Source organism: Homo sapiens, chromosome 12, assembly GCF_000001405.40.
Source record: "Homo sapiens chromosome 12, GRCh38.p14 Primary Assembly".
Lineage (NCBI taxonomy): Eukaryota > Metazoa > Chordata > Mammalia > Primates > Hominidae > Homo > Homo sapiens.
Genome location: NC_000012.12, coordinates 443,170 through 461,224, shown reverse-complemented (window position 1 = coordinate 461,224; position 18,055 = coordinate 443,170). Strand labels below are relative to the sequence as shown.

The following is an 18,055-nucleotide window of genomic DNA, read 5'->3' as shown; positions in this document are numbered from 1 at the left end:
TCAGGGTTCAGAAAAGTGGCAGAAGGGGCGGCCCGAACAGGAGAAAGAGGGCGCAGCGAGGAGGTGGGAGATTCAAAGAGCCGAGGACGGAGGCTGGGAGAGGAGCGACGTATGGGAAGCGGGGAAGAGACGGGACTCTCCGAGGTATGGTAAAAAAGAACCCCCCTAGAAGATGCAGCAGGAGAGGAAACGGAGTGAGCCAAACAGAAGGCGGTGGGCAAAGTTTGGGCTGCGCGGACTGGAGCGCGCGCCTGGGTGTGGACGGCCGAGGGCATCCCGCACCCGAATCCCTAGCTCGCGCGTGGACCCCACGGACCTCCTCCCCGGGAACCGCAAGCCCGGAGCGGCTGGAGGGGCCCGGTCTCCGCCAGCGTCTCGGCGGGACGGGCGGGGAGCCTCTCTCCGGGTCGCTCTCCGAGGGGAGACGCGAGGAGCCCCCAGGGTGCCCCGGACCCACGTGGCCGGCGGGCAGGCCCGGGCTCGGGAATTCTGCGCTCGGCCCCGCGGCTTCCCCCGCCCGCAGCTCTCCCCGAGTACGCGCGGGGCGACGCCGGGCACCTGAGGGAGAAATGGGTGGGAAATCGGGTCTGAGGATGGGATGAGAGGCGGGTCCCCCCAACGCAGGAGCCGCCGCCGCCGCCCACCCCCGCGCCCTTCGCCTCCCCTGGGTGCTACTTACTCCGGTTCAGGGGGTTCCCGCCGACCTGGGCCGACGCCACCAGTTCCAGATACAGAGTCCAGAGCCCCACAGACACCACGGCGAGCGCCAGCAGCAGCCGGAAGCGCCTCCGCAGCAGCTTCACCGGGCGCAGGAGCAGCGGGGGCCGCGCGGCCCGGGGGCTCCCCATGGCGCTGCGCCGAGGCGGCCGCCGCCAGCGCGGGCTCCAACCCCCCGAGCCGCCGCCCCCCGGCCGGGCCCCGCGCCCAGGGCGCCCCGCGTCCCGGCCCAGCGTCTCAGGGCTGCGCCGAGGCCGTCTCTCCCGGCCGCTCTCCGGCGGGGCTCGGGCTCATGCTCCGGGCGCGAGGGGTCTCCGGGCTGCGCGGGCGCCCAGCAGGTCTCTCCGGGAGCCGAGCCCGGCTCCTCCTCCGCGCGTGTGTTCCGCGCCGGGCTCTCCTCCCCACGCCTCTCCCGTCGCAGGCTCGCTGCCGCCCTCCCTCCCTGCGCGCCCGCCCTCACTCGCTGCCCAGAAGGAGGCTTCCCCGGCGCCCGCCCGCCTGCCTCCGCCCGCGCCCCCGCCAGCCCCGGACCGGGCTCCGGGCTCTGGGCTCTCCTGCTCGCGGAACCTGGCCCGCCCCCGGCCCCGCCCCCGCCCCCGCCCCGGGCACAGGTGGGCTCCGCCCCCGAGAAGCCAGGGACGCGAAGAGGCCATTCGGCTTCCCTAGGGGAGCGAGAGGTGGGGCCAGAGAACTGGTGCCTGGTGCCTCCCCCGACTGGGAACGGGTGGGATGAGGAGGGGGCGAGTGATGATGCGGACTCTGGGTGACCGAGGGAAACCGAGTCACCACCCAGGCGCCTAACGGTGTGGTTTTAGGCAGAAGCGAAGTAGAGGCTGGTTTGGGCGACGCCCAAGGCTTTAGCCTCAGAGCCTTTCGTCGCCAACAGCAACGACCCGACTCCCTGCTTGACGAAACCAGTAGGCGTGAAATATCACGGGAGCCACTGGACGCTTAACGCAGACATAGCTTCGTTTTCCAGTTGAGATTTGAAGACCTTTCTTCCCAGCCTGAACCACATCTCCGAGAGGCGCTGGGGAAGTCGTACAGCCCCCACGGTGAACCCCAGCAAGCAGTTTTCCCCAGACTGGGCTGGAATGGCTGTTTGAAGAGAGTAGGTGTTTGAGGGTTCCGAAAAAGAATTTTAAAAAGAAAAGAAAAGTATTCACTCTTAGAGTTGAAAAGATCAGCAAGATAAGCCAGGCACAGTGGCTCACGGCTGTCGTCCCAGCACTTTGAGAGGCTGAGGCAAGAGGATCTCTTGATCTCTGGAGGTCAAGGCTGCAGTGAGCCGTGATTGCGTCAGTGCACTCCAGCCTGGGCAACACAGCAAGACCCTGTCTCAAAAAAAAAAAAATCAGTATTCCAGTCCTCTGCCTTCAGGCAGGTAAAGCATTATTATCTGATTTAAATTAGATAAAGTATCAAGGGGCAGAATAACTGCCCCAGGTCACTCAGCAAGTTATACTGCAGTTTTCTTTTCCATTATCTCTTCTGGGAAAAATGGTCAGGAGACTATGGGAAAAGTGAAGGATCAAAGTGTTCCTGGACATTTTAAAATCAAATGAATATCACACAAGTACTGTTCCAAGACAGAGGTTCTCACAGAATTGAGAACTATGTTTCCCTTCTCTCTGTTCTCACCTCAGTTGGATATTCAATAGTTTCTACAGGACTTTTCCTAATTAGCCTCCCCAACTCCAAGCTTCCCATCGCATCCTGTCCACTACCACCAGATGGTCTTCATAAAAAGCCAGGCATGGTGACACACACCTGTAGTCCTAACTTACTCGGGAGGCTGAGGTGGGAGGAGTGTAAGGTTGTAGTGAGCCACAATCATGCCACTGCACTCCAGCCTGGGTGACAGAGCAAGACCTTGTCTCAAAAAAAAAAAAAAAAAAAAAAAAATCCCGTATGTAGTCACACACCTGCTCAAAAATATTTAATGGCTTCCAATGCTTATTGATTAAGATACACACTGTAAATCCAGAATTCAGGGCCTTCCAGAACCTTTTCCAACTTTATGTGACCACATGAAACCTGCTCCAGCTAAAACGAGTTTATTCACTACCCTCCAACACATTTTCTTTTCTAGTTGGTCAACTTGTACCCTTTATCCAAGGTCCATTTCAGATTCTATAAAGCTTTCTTGGACCAGCCAAGTCCTAAGCAACTCCTTCCTTTCTGGAGCTTTAGTAGAACTTGCCATCTGTCTCACCATCTGATATGTTGGAACTTACTTGGAGTGTGTGAGTCTTGTTTTCCCAACCTCACTGTAAGGCTTCAAAAATGGGAGCTGCATTTCCAGTGGGTGGTACAATGTCCACTTAGCACTTAGGAAGGTTTGAGGATGGGGGTAGCACTTTGAGCAAACATCTTCCAGAACTTTCACTGCAGTTCTTTAGCAAAAAGGGTGAATCCAAAGGACAATTCTCTAATTGTAGCCCCTGGGAAAGGTCTCTGTGAAGTTCCAAAGCCACAGATTCCTGTACTTCTCATGTTCTTCTTTCTTTCCACAAGTCCAAGATAGGAGCAGCCAGTGTGTGCACGGCCTGTGCAAGCTCGGCTGAGTCAAGTGGGAAGTGACCGGGCCCTGTAAATAGAGTCCCTCTCTTACTAAGGGCAACCCAACTGGATTTTAGGTTGAGTCACTTTTAACACTTTGTCATGGAAACAGGTGGCAGCCTTGCCACAATTCTCTCCTCAAGACTGAGAAAGCTCATGCAATCACTTCGGTCAACCAAATGCTTGAAGCATCTATTATGTAGGAACTGGGAGAGATCTAAAACAAGAAGCATGCTGTTTAGTTGAGGAAAAAAGATAGTCCACAGGAAAAGAAATCTGACAGTTTAAAGGCCAAATTTATGGTCCAAAGAGATTAAGAAGAAGAAGGAGATCACCCTGTACCTCTTGATTTTTTATCCTCCTCTTATTTCTACTTTGTTTTTATAACTTGAGAAGATCATTACTTTTCCAGCTTATGGTGAGAGGTGCCAGGAGTCGAAGAGAAAAGAGGCCAGGACATTCTTGTGGCTCTCCTCTCTCCCTCTTCTGTTCCCTTCTCTTCTGTGGGTGACGCCTTGGCACTGAGATATCCCTCACATTCAGACCCCGCTTTCTCCACATCCCTTTTTGACTCCTGGTGATGTCACAGCAGGGGAAGATCTGAATTTTGAGACCCAAATTTCCCAAATAGCTGAGCTCCAGAACTAAGTATGTGGATTGAGGTATCATGGTGGCATAATATATTGTCACAAATGTCCATTCATTGTCAGTGTCAATTTGCCTGGCTACTCACCAGTTCTTCTGATGGTTTTCACTGTCCTTTCACCCTCCCACTTCAGCTACAGCACCTGACCCAGAATAGCCCAGGGTCACATTGTACAAATTGCACCCAAAAGGAAAAATATTTTCCACCATACACCTGCAATAATGGTAGAAGGGCCCGGTCTTTGCTTGGCCAGAATATCAGAGGCAGAGCAGGTCAAATCATAAAGTTTCTTCTCCCAAATTACAGAGGCATTGTAAGAGAGGTTGACCAAAGTTTTCTAAAATGGGCCAAGGTTAGCACAGGGACCAGAAAATTCTGGATTGTGGAGAATTCAGAAGGGAAGAGTTTAGTGACCTATAGGTATGGTCTGTTGTATGCAGACCAAGTCTTATTCTACTCTATAGGGATGTCAAAATATACTAAGTAACTCCAGTGACCCCTGTGCCACCCATCCTTTTTCCTAAAACCTGACACCTACATTATAAGGTAGCAACTTTGAGCTTAGAGAGCATTTTTACATCTATATTCCATGTGTTTTGTTTCTCACAACCATATGAGAACAACAGGGGAGGTAGCCTCCTCTATTTACAAATAAGCTTTGCAAGCCTCAGTTTCTTCACATGACCAATAAGTGATAGAATCAGAACCGGAACCAGATCTTTAGCCGCTGGTCCTCTTTCCATTGTACCCAGAGACTTCTTCCTTCTCCAGTCTGACCTTCCATATCTATATCCATATCTGTATCTATCTATATCTATATCTATATCTATATCTATATCTATATCTATATCTATATCTATATCTGTATCTATCTTATCCCTGTCTATATATACCTGTGTGTTTGTTGGGCAGACTGTGTTCCATTCTTTGAGAGAAAAGAACAGTGCTGGAAATATCCACAAAGACATGCTCTCCAAGTGCCGGGGTCATTTTGGCAAGCATTTATTTGTTTTATCTCTTTCAACTCATGCAAATCACGTATCCTGGAAACTGTCCTTTCACTGATTCCATTTCATAGATAAAGAAATGGGCTCGGAGATGTTAAATAACTTGCTCAAGGTCATCTACATGACCCATCTCTTAGGACTCAAACTCAGGCTTTCTAACTTCAGATCCAGGGCTTTTTTTCCTTTGCACATGTTCCTCCCCTGGAAGTTCCCCTGCAGAAGTATATTCACTCTGGAAACTCTGAGCTCACCTTCAGCACATCCATAACTCACTCAGCCACATGATAATTCTTCTCATCCCCTCCCCCCTCCCCCCAACTCCGTCACCAATGCTGCCTGCTGTGCTCTTTACAGAAGAGATCCTTTTTCCTAGCCCTCCTTCCATGAGTCCATCTTTTACAAATCTTTCTGCATGGTTTGCTACTATGGAGGCCAATCCCAGAAAAGGATGGATGCCCCCCACTGAATGCTTCTTATTAGCCACTTCTCTTGCTTTTCCAGAAAGCTGGGCTCTTCTGTTTGGCTGATGGAAAGAATGGTATGAGCTCTGGCAAGATCTCAAGCCTCAGTTTCTCCATCTGTGGTCGTACGTAATTTTACAAACTAGACTGGGAAACAGATGAATATCCCTATAGAAGCATCCCTATAGAAGAACATGTTCAAGATTGCATGGTAAAGTGTCAAAGGAATCAGATGAAAGGAGTTAAAGAAAAGATGAAGAAAGGGCGTAGACGTTATGCTGAGGGTCAAAACAAAGCTCATCAGCTGGGAAAAATCCCAGGGCAATTCACATACTTCATCTCACTCCCAAGCAAGTGAGTTGCTGATATAGTCCTCAGCAGACGGTGAGAGGTGACCCAAACCAGAACTATGTGCTTTGAAGTTCTAAGTTTGGCATCTATTGCTAGGCCTTGCTTCCTCTTCCAATCTGCATTATGAATGCCTCCAAATTATTCCAACGTCTCTTTCTGCCTTCCTCCTTCAGGGAGAAGGATTCCCCAGCAAGTCAAGAGACAATCATCCAGGTCAAAAAAATTATCTTTGACTTGTTCAGGCTTTTCAGCTGAGAAATACCAATTATTTCCTACCACTCAGGTTTTCTTTGTTGCTGGCAAACCCAGAGGGAGATAGTGTGAACAGTGCTCTTGGTTGCTCATTAGTTGGTGCTGAGGCCATCTACACGAGCCTCCCCAAAGCTCTACCTCCTGTCTGTCTGACCACTAAACCCCACTAGAAAGACATTCTCTCACCCTTCTCTAGAAAGGCACTCTTCTGTCTGCACTCTGCAGTCTTCTGCTACAGATGCTAGTGAGAGGATGTGTAGCTGAAGCTAAGGCATAATGACCCACAGCTCTGAGTAGCTTCTTCCCCACTCCCAAGTCATGGCACATGTTTGATGTCTGGAAGCTGTGTGGCTCACCATGGTGCCAGGGTAGTGTCATCCCTCTGAGTGAAGTCTTAGTGCTAACTTCTCTTCTCCCAAGGACACATCCCACAGGCTTGGTCCCTACAAGTTTGAGCACACACAGATGTGTATTTGAGCATACACAGATGTGTGTCTCAGCATTTTCAGAACAGGGCATAGGTCCCTAGGACTCTGAGTGAAGCTGGATTTCCTACCGCTATTCTCTCTCTTTCATCCTGAAGAAAAAAACTCATATGCACCCTTCACTCCTGACTTCACAGTTTCTCCAACCCCTAATAGGGCTTCTAAACGACCACATCTTTTCTGCATTTGATAATCTGTACTCCTTCTATAGGCTTCAGCCCAGAAGCCATTTAATAAATACTCTGTAGTAATCGAGAATGTCCTTACTCCCCATTCACATGAGGTTCTGTCAACTTGAAAGCCCACTCATTTAAGGAGGCTTCCCCTAAGAAAACAGAAATGGTCATGCCGGGCGCCGTGGCTCACGCCTGTAATCCCAGCGCTTTGGGAGGCCGAGGCGGGCGGATCACGAGGTCAGGAGATCGAGACCATCCTGGCTAACACGGTGAAACCCCGTCTCTACTAAAGATACAAAAAATTAGCCGGGGCCTGTAGTCCCAGCTACTCCGGAGGCTGAGGCAGGAGAATGGCCTGAACCCGGGAGGCGGAGTTTGCAGTGAGCGGAGATGGCGCCACTGCGCTCCAGCCTGGGCGACAGAGCGAGACTCCGTCTCAAAAAGAAAAAGAAAAAGAAAAGAGAAAGGGGGCGTGGATGTTCTTCCCTTGCCTTGAACACGGTTGAATCCACAGCGGGGAGCGCTGCAGGCAGCCCGGCCGAGTGGAGCGCACGGCCGTATTAACCTAGCTCACGGCTTGGCTTGGGAAGAACAATGGTCCCAAAGCCGGTACGTGCGCAGAGTGCCCCAGAACAGCGCAAGTGCTCAAGCCCCAGACAGACTCCCTGAAAAACTTCTGTCTCAGTTCCTAGGTCCAGGCCTGTGAACTCTGCCGCGAGAACGCCAGCCCTTCCACTTAACACTCAGTCACTGTGGCGTCTCCGCAGAGCGTCTCGGTTTCCAGACGGGGATGCTGGCGCTGATGACGGGCAGAGCCGCTGGTTTCAGGTTTCTCAGCCGTGTTATCTAAGGACCGGCTGCTTGGGAGTTGATCAGGGCTGGTTCGAGAGAGAGGCAGACGCCGTCTTTTCCCCAGAACAGACTCCTCTTTGAGCTCTGCCGCCACCCGGACTGGGGATGGAAGAGAGAAAACAAAAATCCCCACTGTATGTGGTTCTCTGGAATTTAACTCGGCCCTGGAGAGGAAAGAGCAGCGTCGCCTCTGCACCGCAGCGCCCCCTGCGGGCGGCAAACCCCCCGCTCGGCCCCGGAGAGGAAAGGGCAACGTCGCCTCTGCACCGCAGCGCCCCCTGCGGGCGGCAAGCCCCCCGCTCGGCCCCGGAGAGGAAAGGGCAACGTCGCCTCTGCACCGCAGCGCCCCCTGCGGGCGGCAAACCCCCCGCTCGGCCCCGGAGAGGAAAGGGCAACGTCGCCTCTGCACCGCAGCGCCCCCTGCGGGCGGCAAACCCCCCGCTCGGCCCCGGAGAGGAAAGGGCAACGTCGCCTCTGCACCGCAGCGCCCCCTGCGGGCGGCAAACCCCCCGCTCGGCCCCGGAGAGGAAAGGGCAACGTCGCCTCTGCACCGCAGCGCCCCCTGCGGGCGGCAAACCCCCCGCTCGGCCCTGGAGAGGAAAGGGCAGCGTCGCCTCTGCACCGCAGCGCCCCCTGCGGGCGGCAAACCCCTTTAACGCGGAGCTGGGGCAAGACTGGGAAGGGGTTAGGGTGAGAACAAAAATGACTTCTGACCCTCTCCGCAGTAGTGGAGGCTCCCATCTCATTCCTAGGTAAAAACTCCGAGTGAAGGAGTGTGATTTAAAGTCAGTTTGGTGGCCGGGCACGGTGCCTCACGCCTGTAATCCCAGCACTTTGGGAGGCTGACCCCGGGTGTTTCAGACCAGCCTGGGCAACATAGCAAGACCCCATTTCTACAGAAAATAAAAAATAAAATAAAGTCAGTTTGCAAGAACTGATTGAAACAGAACATCCTCACTGGCTAAGCTATAAAGAAAGAAGATGAACCCAGGTTAGTGATTTGGGACAAGGACAGTTGGTGAAACTGCATAGTCATGAGGTGAGGTTTTCTGGGTTTTTTTTTTTTCCTATTCTCTCATATATTTGCCACCTACACGGTGTGTGGGGTGGTAGAGGGTGGTCAAGACGTGTATTTGTTTTGTTTTGTTATGTGTTTTTTTAATCTGTCATCCAGGCTGGAGTGCAGTGGCACAATCTATGGCTCATTCCCGCCTCAGCCTCTTGAGTGGCTGGGACTGCAAGCATGTACCACCATGCCTGGCTTTTTTCTTTTTTTCTTTTTTTTTCGAGACAGGTCCTGCTCTGTCACCCAGGCTGGAGTGCAGTGGCGCAATCTTGGCTCACTGCAACCTCTGCCTTCCGGGTTCAAGCAATTCTCGTGCCTCAGCCTCCCGAGTAGCTGGGACTACAGGTGTGCGTCACCACACCTGGCTAATTTTTGTATTTTTAGTAGAAACGGGGTTTCGCCATGTTGGCCAGGTTGGTCTCAAACTTCTGGCCTCAAGTGATCTGCCCACCTCCCAAAGTGCTGGAATTATAGATGTGAGACACCGTGCCCAGCCCTTGGCTAAATTTTTTAACTTTAATTTTTTGTTGAGATGGGCTATGTTGCCCAAGCTGGTTTCAAACTCCTGGGCTCAAGCAATTCTCCCACATCAGCTTCCCAAAGTGCTAGGATTACAGGCATGAGCCACTGCACCCCACCAAGGCAGAAGAATCTTTTAGAAGCTCCAGGGCACTGAGCTTATGCCTGTAATCCCAACACTTTAGGAGGCTGAGATGGGATGACTGCTTGAGCCCAGAAGGTGGAGTCTGCAATGAGCAGTGATCTGCACTGCATTCTAGCCTGGGTGACGGAGTGAGACCCTATATCTAAAATTAAATACATAACAAATATTCTTCTGCCTTTATGAGGATTCTGCTCTTCAGCCAGGCATCTTACCCTCAAAAGGGGGCTGTCAGAGCAGGCCAGTGGGAGATGTGCATGGTAAAGCCTTGCATTGTGTTATCCCATGTGTTATCCAGGTGTTTATAGGAGACATTTCACACTCTGAATTTTCCTTCAGTGAATTTACAAAGTGACCTCAGAGACTTCACATCAGTCTCTGAATTATTTTTTTAATCTAGGTCAGATGTCCTTTGCTCCACATTTTCAGATCACCGTGTTATCTCAGCTTTCTAGGCTGAATACATTGCTTTCAGGAAGGTTTTCCCTTAAATGCCATAGTATTCTCGAGGGAGATTTCTGCAGCCTTTAAAGACCTGTAGAAAAGGAAACCCCCAGCATTCTCACCATAGGGGAGAGTCATAGGTGGCATCACAGAGAGGAATGCCAACACCTCAGGAGAGGATGTGGGTGTCTTGTGAAGAGAGCCCGAGTCAGAACTCCTGGAAACACTAACACTGGTGGGACAAGCAGAAGCAGAATCAGTGACCAGGAGCAGGCAAGTGCACCAGGTGCAGAAGTCAGACTAGGACAGAGACCTAGGAAGCAGGGAGAGCCAGAGGCAGTGCCAGTGCATGCGTGGGCAGGCAGCAGGCTCATGATCAGCGCTTAGGAGGCAAGGGCAGGAGACTGGGTGGGAAGCACCCCGATAGGAGAGGGGTGAGGGGAGTTAGAGGGCGGCTTAGTCCGACTGACTCAAGGTGAAATATAGAATCTAGCCTGGTGCCATGCCTCACACCTGTAATCCTGGCACTTTGGGAGGCTGAAGCAGGAAAATCACTTGAGGCCAAGAGTTTGAGACCAGCCTGGTCAATATAGTGAGACTCCATCTCTATGTAAAATTTTAAAATAAATAAAGAAATAAAAGTGGTGGGGGGAAGAAATACTGAATCTCAAAGATGAGGACAAAGTAGTCAGGCTTCAGGAAATGAGCAGAGAATACGTAGAGAAAGAAGAGTTTCCTAAGGTCATTTTTTGGGGGGAAGGAGTTCATTGCTTTGACAGAAACAAGCAAGAGAACCTGTTTGCACACCGAGAACACAGCTATTTTCCACAGAAGCTTATCAGGTGCTGGCCCAGCCTAGGGAGTGACACAAGAGATAAGGCTAGGGTAAGGAACCGCCTCTCTAAGTAAAAAGAAAAACCCAGGCACACCAGTTCAATCTGCACTGATTACTGAGCTTTGGGCCAAATGAAATCTCACCAAAATGTGCATGACAATACTACTTAGGCTCATTCCTATTTGGGATCCCTCTACTTAATATTTAATTATCCTTCCCAAATGCCAAGGCAAGCTTGCCAATTAAGAGGCTCTGGAAGAGTCAACACAAGCAATATTGAAATTGTTCATTTAAAATCGCACTGCTGTTGTTAAATGCTGTTGTGAGCCAAAAGGGAAGGAAAATGTCACAAGTCAACACAAGGCTAATCACAAACATTGTGGTCCAATCCAGAATTACCAGGACTCACTAGCTGCAGACTAGTCAAAAAGCAGTGAGTCAATGATTGGAGATAAACTGGGCAAAATGTGCATAAAATCACTGTATTATTTCTTAGAACTGCATGCGAATGTACAATTATCTAAAAAATAGAAAGATGAGCTGAATCATCGAGGAGAATAAATATTTGTCCAAACTGAAAAAAAACCATATTTGGCAGCAACTCAAGATGCATCTATTATAATGACATACATATATGACATATATGTAGATATGAGTCTATTCTGTTCATGTGTCAACACAACACAATTTATTTATTATTTGTATATTTTATTTTTTATTTTTTTAGAGATGGGGTTTCACTCTGTAGCCCTGGCTAGAGTGCAGTAGCCTGATCATAGCTCACTGTAGCCTCGACCTCCTGGGCTCAAGCGATCCCCCAGCCTCAGCCTCCCAAGTAGCTGGGGCTATAGGCGTGCACCACCACACCCAGCTAATTTTTTCTATGTTTTGTAGAGATGGAGTCCCACTATGTTCCTAGGCTGGTCTCAAACTCCTGGCCTCAAATGATCCTCCTGCCGTGACCTCCCAAAATGCTGGAATTACAGGCGTAAGCCACTGTGCCAGTCTTAATTTTTTAAAAAATAGACTGGCTGGCTCAGTTTGAAAAAAAGAGGTCATGCAGCTGAAGAGGCAAAGAGAAAGAGAGCTAATATCTGCAAACAAAAGAAATCATAGCTGCCACTTGGAGGTTGAGCTCCCAGAAGGCTGTTCTGGCAAGGATGGTGGTTTCTCAGTGACAATCTGATCCACAGTCTCCCACATAGGCACCTGCATTCACTTACGATGTGAATATTCTCATCTAGTAGTTTCCCCCAAGAAGGGCATCATCTCCAAAATGAGGGATTTCCTACACACAAGAACACGGGTGCACTGTGATGTCATCATAAATGTGAGGCAATTAAGTAATTAATCTCCAGAAGTCTAGGTTGTGTTCACAGTTGCTTTTTGTATGGCTAACTTGAAAATAAGCTACCAAGTAGTCCAGGAGTGGAATATTTCACAGCTTAAGCCGATAAAGCAATGTTTTCACGTAGAGATTTAAAGCCCCCTTTCAAAATGTTTTCTTTGCAAGGCCTCCCTTCACTTTGCAGCCAAACCCTCCTTCCAGCTCTATCTCTTCACCTGCCTTTTTTTCTGCTGGTCTGCCTATTCTAGATCTTTTTTGGCTCTGTGCCCTTACCTACTTAGGAAGTTAGAAGGGCAGATGAAGCAGACTATGACTTGCTGCGATTCTAGGCATTTTCTCCCTGGCAGGCAGTTCAACTCAATAAATCGTCCATCAAGAGCTACTCCTAATGAGTCTATCACTTGTCTCTTGTCAGCTCCCTCCAATCTTTCCAACATTCACTTTCTCCTCAAGCTCCCCATCACATCTATACCCTATCTCACTTTCAGTGGAGGGTTTAACTTTATTTCCTCTGTGAAAACAGGGTACTTGCCCCTTTAGAGTTATTATACCAACTCATCTGCTTTTACTGCACCCGTCAGTACCAGCGCTCATTCCCCCAGCATCTTACTTAGAAACACCTCTCACTCTTCCATCTTCAGTTCCTTCCTCTGGCCTTTCCCTTTCAGTCTGTGAATATGGTTAAGTCTTCCCCAGCCTAAAACTATCGAAACTCCTCTCCTTGGCTTTATCAACTTTGAAGCTATTTCCCATTTTCCTTCTGGCCTCATCCCTCAACCTAATATAAGCCAACTTCCATCTCTATTTCACTGAAGTTGCTTTAAACTCACCTGCTGCTAAATCCCCAAACCTCAATTCTAATTTACATGGTTCTTCTAGAGCGTTTGACAATGCTCCCAACCACTGGCTTCTTGAAGTTCTCATTCCCTGAGTTTCCAGAACACTATGTTCTTGTTATTCAGACCATTCCTTTCTTACTGGCTACCCCTTCTCTTACTGTTAAGGTTTCCCCTCTTTGGCCGGGCGCGGTGGCTCACGCCTGTAATCCCAGCACTTTGGGAGGCTGAGGCGGGTGGATCACGAGGTCGGGAGATCGAGACTATCCTGGCTAACATGGTGAAACCCTGCCTCTACTAAAAATACAACAAAATTAGCCGGGCGCGGTGGCGGGCGCCTGTAGTCCCAGCTACTCGGGAGGCTGAGGCAGGAGAATGGCGTGAACCCAGGAGGTGGAGCTTGCAGTGAGCCGAGATCACGCCACTGCACTCCAGCCCGGGCGACAGAGCGAGATCCGTCTCAAAAACAAACAAACAAAAAAAAAGGTTTCCCCTCTTTGACCCTCTTCTCTTCTTTTTCTGTATGCTTTTCATCTCGGATCTCATCCACATCCAATTACCTTTTATATGTTAATAATTCCAAGTCTTTAATACTAACTTATCTTCCAGATCTCTATTCCCAAATTTACTAGAAACAGGCTGCTTCTCCTATACATTGAAGCTCACTTAACGGTGTCACTGGACACGTGGTACCTCAAGCCAGAAACTCTGAAGTTAGAGAATTATCCTTTTTTTTTTCCTTTGAGATACGGTCTCACCCTGTTGCCCAGGCTGAAGTACAGTGGCACTGTCATAACTCACTGCAGCCTCAAAGTCCTGGACTCAAGCAATCTTGCCTCCTTAGCCTCCTGAGTAGCTAGGACTACAGGTGTGAGCCACTGTGCCTGCCTAATTTTGTTGTTGTTGAGACGGGGTCTCACTATGTTAGCCAGGTTGGTCTCAAACTCCTGGGCTCAAGCGATCTCCCCACCTCCTTAACTCTTCCCTAACTCTCACATCTCATCCATCACAAAGATAGGATGACCATTCTACTCCTAAATGATTCTGTCCCTTCCTCTTTATTCTCAATGTCTCCCTTTAGCTTAGGCCCTGAGTTTCTCTTCTGGATGAGGACAGCAGCCATCTTCTTCCTTCTGTTCCTAGATGCAGTGAGTGATGATAGTGCAATCTGCTGTGTTGCAAATATTACAGTAAGTCTTAGTAGCCCAACTAACATGGTGTGGGTGGAGAGGCAGCGAGAGTCATAAGACTGGACCAAAAATAACATAGCCAGAGGCTATTTTATTTTGTGAAAAATCACATAAGTTTCATGGATAAAAAGGTGATTTATTACCAAGTTACTCATATATATGGTTAAAAGAAAGTTTAAAATGCAAAGGAAATGACAATGATGGCGCTTTTCAAAGATCTTTGGCACTATGCTTTGATTTGTTCCTGCAGATACTGCAATAAATCCTAGTATTAAGTGATTGTGCCTTAGCTTGATCTCAAGTACAAAGATTTACCAGGAAATAAATATTTCATATATTTATTATTTCATGGTAGTTTTTACTCCCCCCCCCCCACACACACACACTTTTTTTGAGACAGGGTCTTGCTTTGTAGCACAGGTGCAAACACGGCTCACTGCAGCCTCAATCTCCCAGGTTCGAGTGATCCTCCTGCCTCAGCCTCCCAAGTAGCTGGGATTACAGGTGTGCACCACCACGCCCAGCTAACTTTTGTATTTTTTGTAGCTGGGTTTTTGCCATGTTGCCCAGGCTGGTGTGGAACTCCTGGGCTCTAGCAAACCTCGGCCTCCCAAAGTGCTGAGATTACTAGATTACTGGTGTGAGCCACTACACCTGGCCCCCTTGCCCCTAATTTTTAAGAAATGAGTTTGCATTTCAAATTATTTTTCATGCATGACTTCATAACACAAAATATTTGTTTTTCTCCAGTTTTAAGTAAACCCAAACATTTTCAATTGATTCAAAGGGTCTTGGAATATTTAACAGGTTTGCATAATTGTATTAAGTGAAATTTCATGCCATTTATGTTGTGTATTACATAACTGTCTCCTGTACTTGCATTTCCCCAAATATTCTGTTCTTCCTTGCCTTCATACATGTTGTCCCTCTGTCTACAAGGTCCCACTTCTTGTCTGTCTCCAAATTCACTTTTGAGGATCAGTTCACATGTCTATCCTGTACACCCATAGAACTGCACTTCATTACTGAGTTTTTTCTATGTTTATCTTCCCCACCAGCCTTTGGAGCACAAGTGTTTTAGTGTTCTCTGTAAACTTAAGATCTAGCATAATTTCTAGAACATAAAAAGCACTTAAGGAGGCCGGCGCAGTGGCTCATGCCTGTAATCCCAGCACTTTGGGAGGCTGAGGCGGGGGGATCACGAGGTCAGGAGATCGAGACCATCCTGGCTAACACAGTGAAACCCTGTCTCTACTAAAAATACAAAAAAAAAAAAAAAAATTAGCCGGGCCTGGTGGCGGGTGCCTGTAGTTCCAGCTACTTGGGAGGCTGAGGCAGGAGAATGGCATGAACCTGGGAGGTGGAGCTTGCAGTGAGCCGAGATCACGCCACTGTACTCCAGCCTGGGTGATAGGGCGAGACTCCGCCTCAAAAAAAAAAAAAAAAGCACTTAAGGGGCCAGGTGCAGTGGGATGCTTGTAATCCCAGTGTTTTGGTAGGATGAGGCAGGAGGATTGCTTGAGGCTAGAAGCTCGACACCAGCCTTGGAACATAGTGAGACTCTATCTGTACAATTTTTTTTTTTTTAAATTAACTGGGTGTAGCGGCATGCCCCTGTAGTCCTAGCTACTTGGGAAGCTGAAGGGGGAGAATTGCTTGAGCCCAGGAGTTCAAAGTGGCAGTGGGTTTTGATTGCACCACTGACTTCTAGCCTGAGCAACAGAGCGAGAGACTTGTTTCTTAAAAAACAAAACAAAACAAATAGCAAAAGAAATAAATTGCTGCATGAAGAAATGAATGGTATTAAATACATCATGGAATCTGATTGGCAATGGTGAGCAATTGGTAAGTCAATTGAAGCCAAAATACAGATAACAGCTCATTGTAACTGAATACCTACCATATGCTAGGCACCAGACTAAGTCATTTCATGGAGGTTTTTTTTTTTTTTAAATTGATATAGGCTGGGTGCAGTGGCTCGCGCCTGTAATCCCAGCACTTTGGGAGGCCGGGGCAGGAGGACTGCTTGAGCCTGGGAGTTCAAGACCAGCTTGGGCAACATGGCAAATCCCTGTCTTTACAAAAAAATACAAAAGTTAGCTGTGCATGGTGGCACATGCCTGTAGTCCCAGCTACTCAGGGGGCTGAGGTTGGAGGATCGCTTAAGCCTGGGAGGTTGAGGCTGCAGTAAGCCAAGGTTGCGCCACTGCAGTCCAGACTGGGTGACAGTGAGACCATGTCTCAAAAAAAAAAAAATTGATATATAACCCACATACCATAAAATTCACCTTTTTAAAGCATTCAATTCAGTGGTTTTTAAAGTACATTCACAGTTTGGCAAAAGAAACCTTGTACCCATTAGCAGTCACTCCTTATTCCCCCCTTCTCAGCCCTTGGCAACCAGTCATCTGCTTTCCATATGGATTTGCCTATTCTGGACGTTTCATGTGTATGGGAATCGTACAATATGTGGCCTTCTGTTTCTGCCTTCTTAGCAAAACGTTGCAAGGTTCCCCCTTGTAGTAGCATGTATCACTACATCATTCCTTTCCATGGCTGCTAATGTTCCATCATATGGATATACCGTATCCTGTCTATCCATTCACCAGCTCACGGACATTTGGATGGTTTCCACTTTTGGTCTATTATTAATAATACTGCTATGAACATCTATGCAGAAGATTTTGTGGGGGTGTATATTTTTATTTATCTTGGGTATATACTTATGGAGTGGAATTGCTGGGTGATATGGTAACTCTAAACTTTTCGAGGAACTGCCAGACTGTTTTTTGAAGGGGAAGCACCGTTTGACATTCTCGTCAGCAATCTATGAGGCCTCTAGTTTCTCCACATCCTTATCCAGTTGTTGCTGACTTTTTGACGACAGCCATCCTAGTGAGCGTGAAGCGGTATCGCATTAGTTTCCATTTCCTTAATGATGCTGAGCATCTTTCCACGTACTTATTGGCCATTTGTGCGACTTTTTTGGAGAGATGTCTATGCAGATCCCTGGCCCATTTTTGAATTGGGTGTGTGTTTTTTTAATTTAGTTGTAAGAGCTCTTTATATACTCTGGATACTAGATTTTCTCTTTCTTAATCCTCACAGTCACTCTGCTGAAACAGGTAGCTTTTTGTCTCTTTTACAAGCGAAGAGACTAGAGCCTGGAGAATTTTAGTAAGAGGTGTGATTGAATCCAGATCTGTGATTCTCCAAAGCCTGTACCCTTTCCACTATTTTATGCTGCTTCTTGGTGACAGAGTTTTAACCAATTGTGAGGTTTGAAGAGTGGCCACACCAGTGGGTGGTTAATATAAAGATGAATGTTATTGGAATTGAGACCAGGATGTTAGAAACATTATCAACTGATTGCTGAAGTCAATGGTAGTAGGTCTCAGAGTCATTTGTAAGTAAGTTGGATTATATGATATTTAAGGTTGCTTCTTACTCCAAAATTCTCTGATTTAATAAGCCTTTTTGTTTTGCCAGCAACAACAAAAGTAATAGTCAGGAAAAGCCAATTCCCTAAGTATTAGGACAGAAGGAAGAATCATGCACTTCTGTAAATCTCTCTGAGGCCTGGGAGCAGGGCACTCTTAAGAATTTTTGTCCCAACTGATCAATGAAAAAAACTGATCTGCTATCACAGGCTTTTTCTTTTTTTTTGAGACGGAGTCTCACTCCATCACCAGGCTGGAGTGCAGTGGCGTGATCTCGGCTCACTGCAACCTCTGCTTCCCAGGTTCAAGCAATTCTCCTGCCTCAGCCTCCCGAGTAGCTGGGATTACAGGTGCGTGCCACCACGCCCAGCTAATTTTTCTATTTCTAGTAGAGATGGGGTTTCACCATGTTGGTCAAGCTGGTCTCAATCTCGTGACCTCGTGATCCACCCACCTCGGCCTACCAAAGTGCTGGGATTACAGGCATGAGCCACCATACCTGGCTGATCACAGACTTTCTCAAGAAAGGTAACAGCTTCTGCGTGCAGTACAATCACCACCTTCCTTTACACATTGTTAACCATTTTAAATATGAAAACCTGGGTTCTCTCCTTTGTCCTGGGTAAATCAGAATGATGCTATCTTAAGCAAAGACCAACTTACTATCAAGAGGCTTTCTGGGTATGGAAACAACTATTTTGTCCCAAATGCAATTTGCCTAAAAAC

The 18,055-nt window shown here is 48.2% G+C and overlaps 1 protein-coding gene across 1 annotated transcript in view, besides 1 other annotated feature; it reads right to left on the bottom strand.

The window, feature by feature from the left end:
• Positions 1 to 1,286, bottom strand: part of B4GALNT3 (beta-1,4-N-acetyl-galactosaminyltransferase 3) — a 103,571-nt gene extending 102,285 nt beyond the window's left edge. The window contains exon 1 of the mRNA NM_173593.4: positions 680 to 1,286. Within this exon, the coding sequence (NP_775864.3) occupies positions 680 to 848 (169 nt within the window). The 5' untranslated portion in view covers positions 849 to 1,286. The remainder of the gene's footprint in view (positions 1 to 679) is intronic.
• Positions 1,135 to 2,118: an enhancer, noted in NCBI's record as "H3K27ac-H3K4me1 hESC enhancer chr12:568273-569256 (GRCh37/hg19 assembly coordinates)". NCBI's record gives its function as "activates a minimal SCP1, AML or CMV promoter by ChIP-STARR-seq in primed H9 embryonic stem cells {active_cell/tissue: H9 hESC(primed)}" and the evidence as "EXISTENCE:reporter gene assay evidence [ECO:0000049][PMID:30033119]".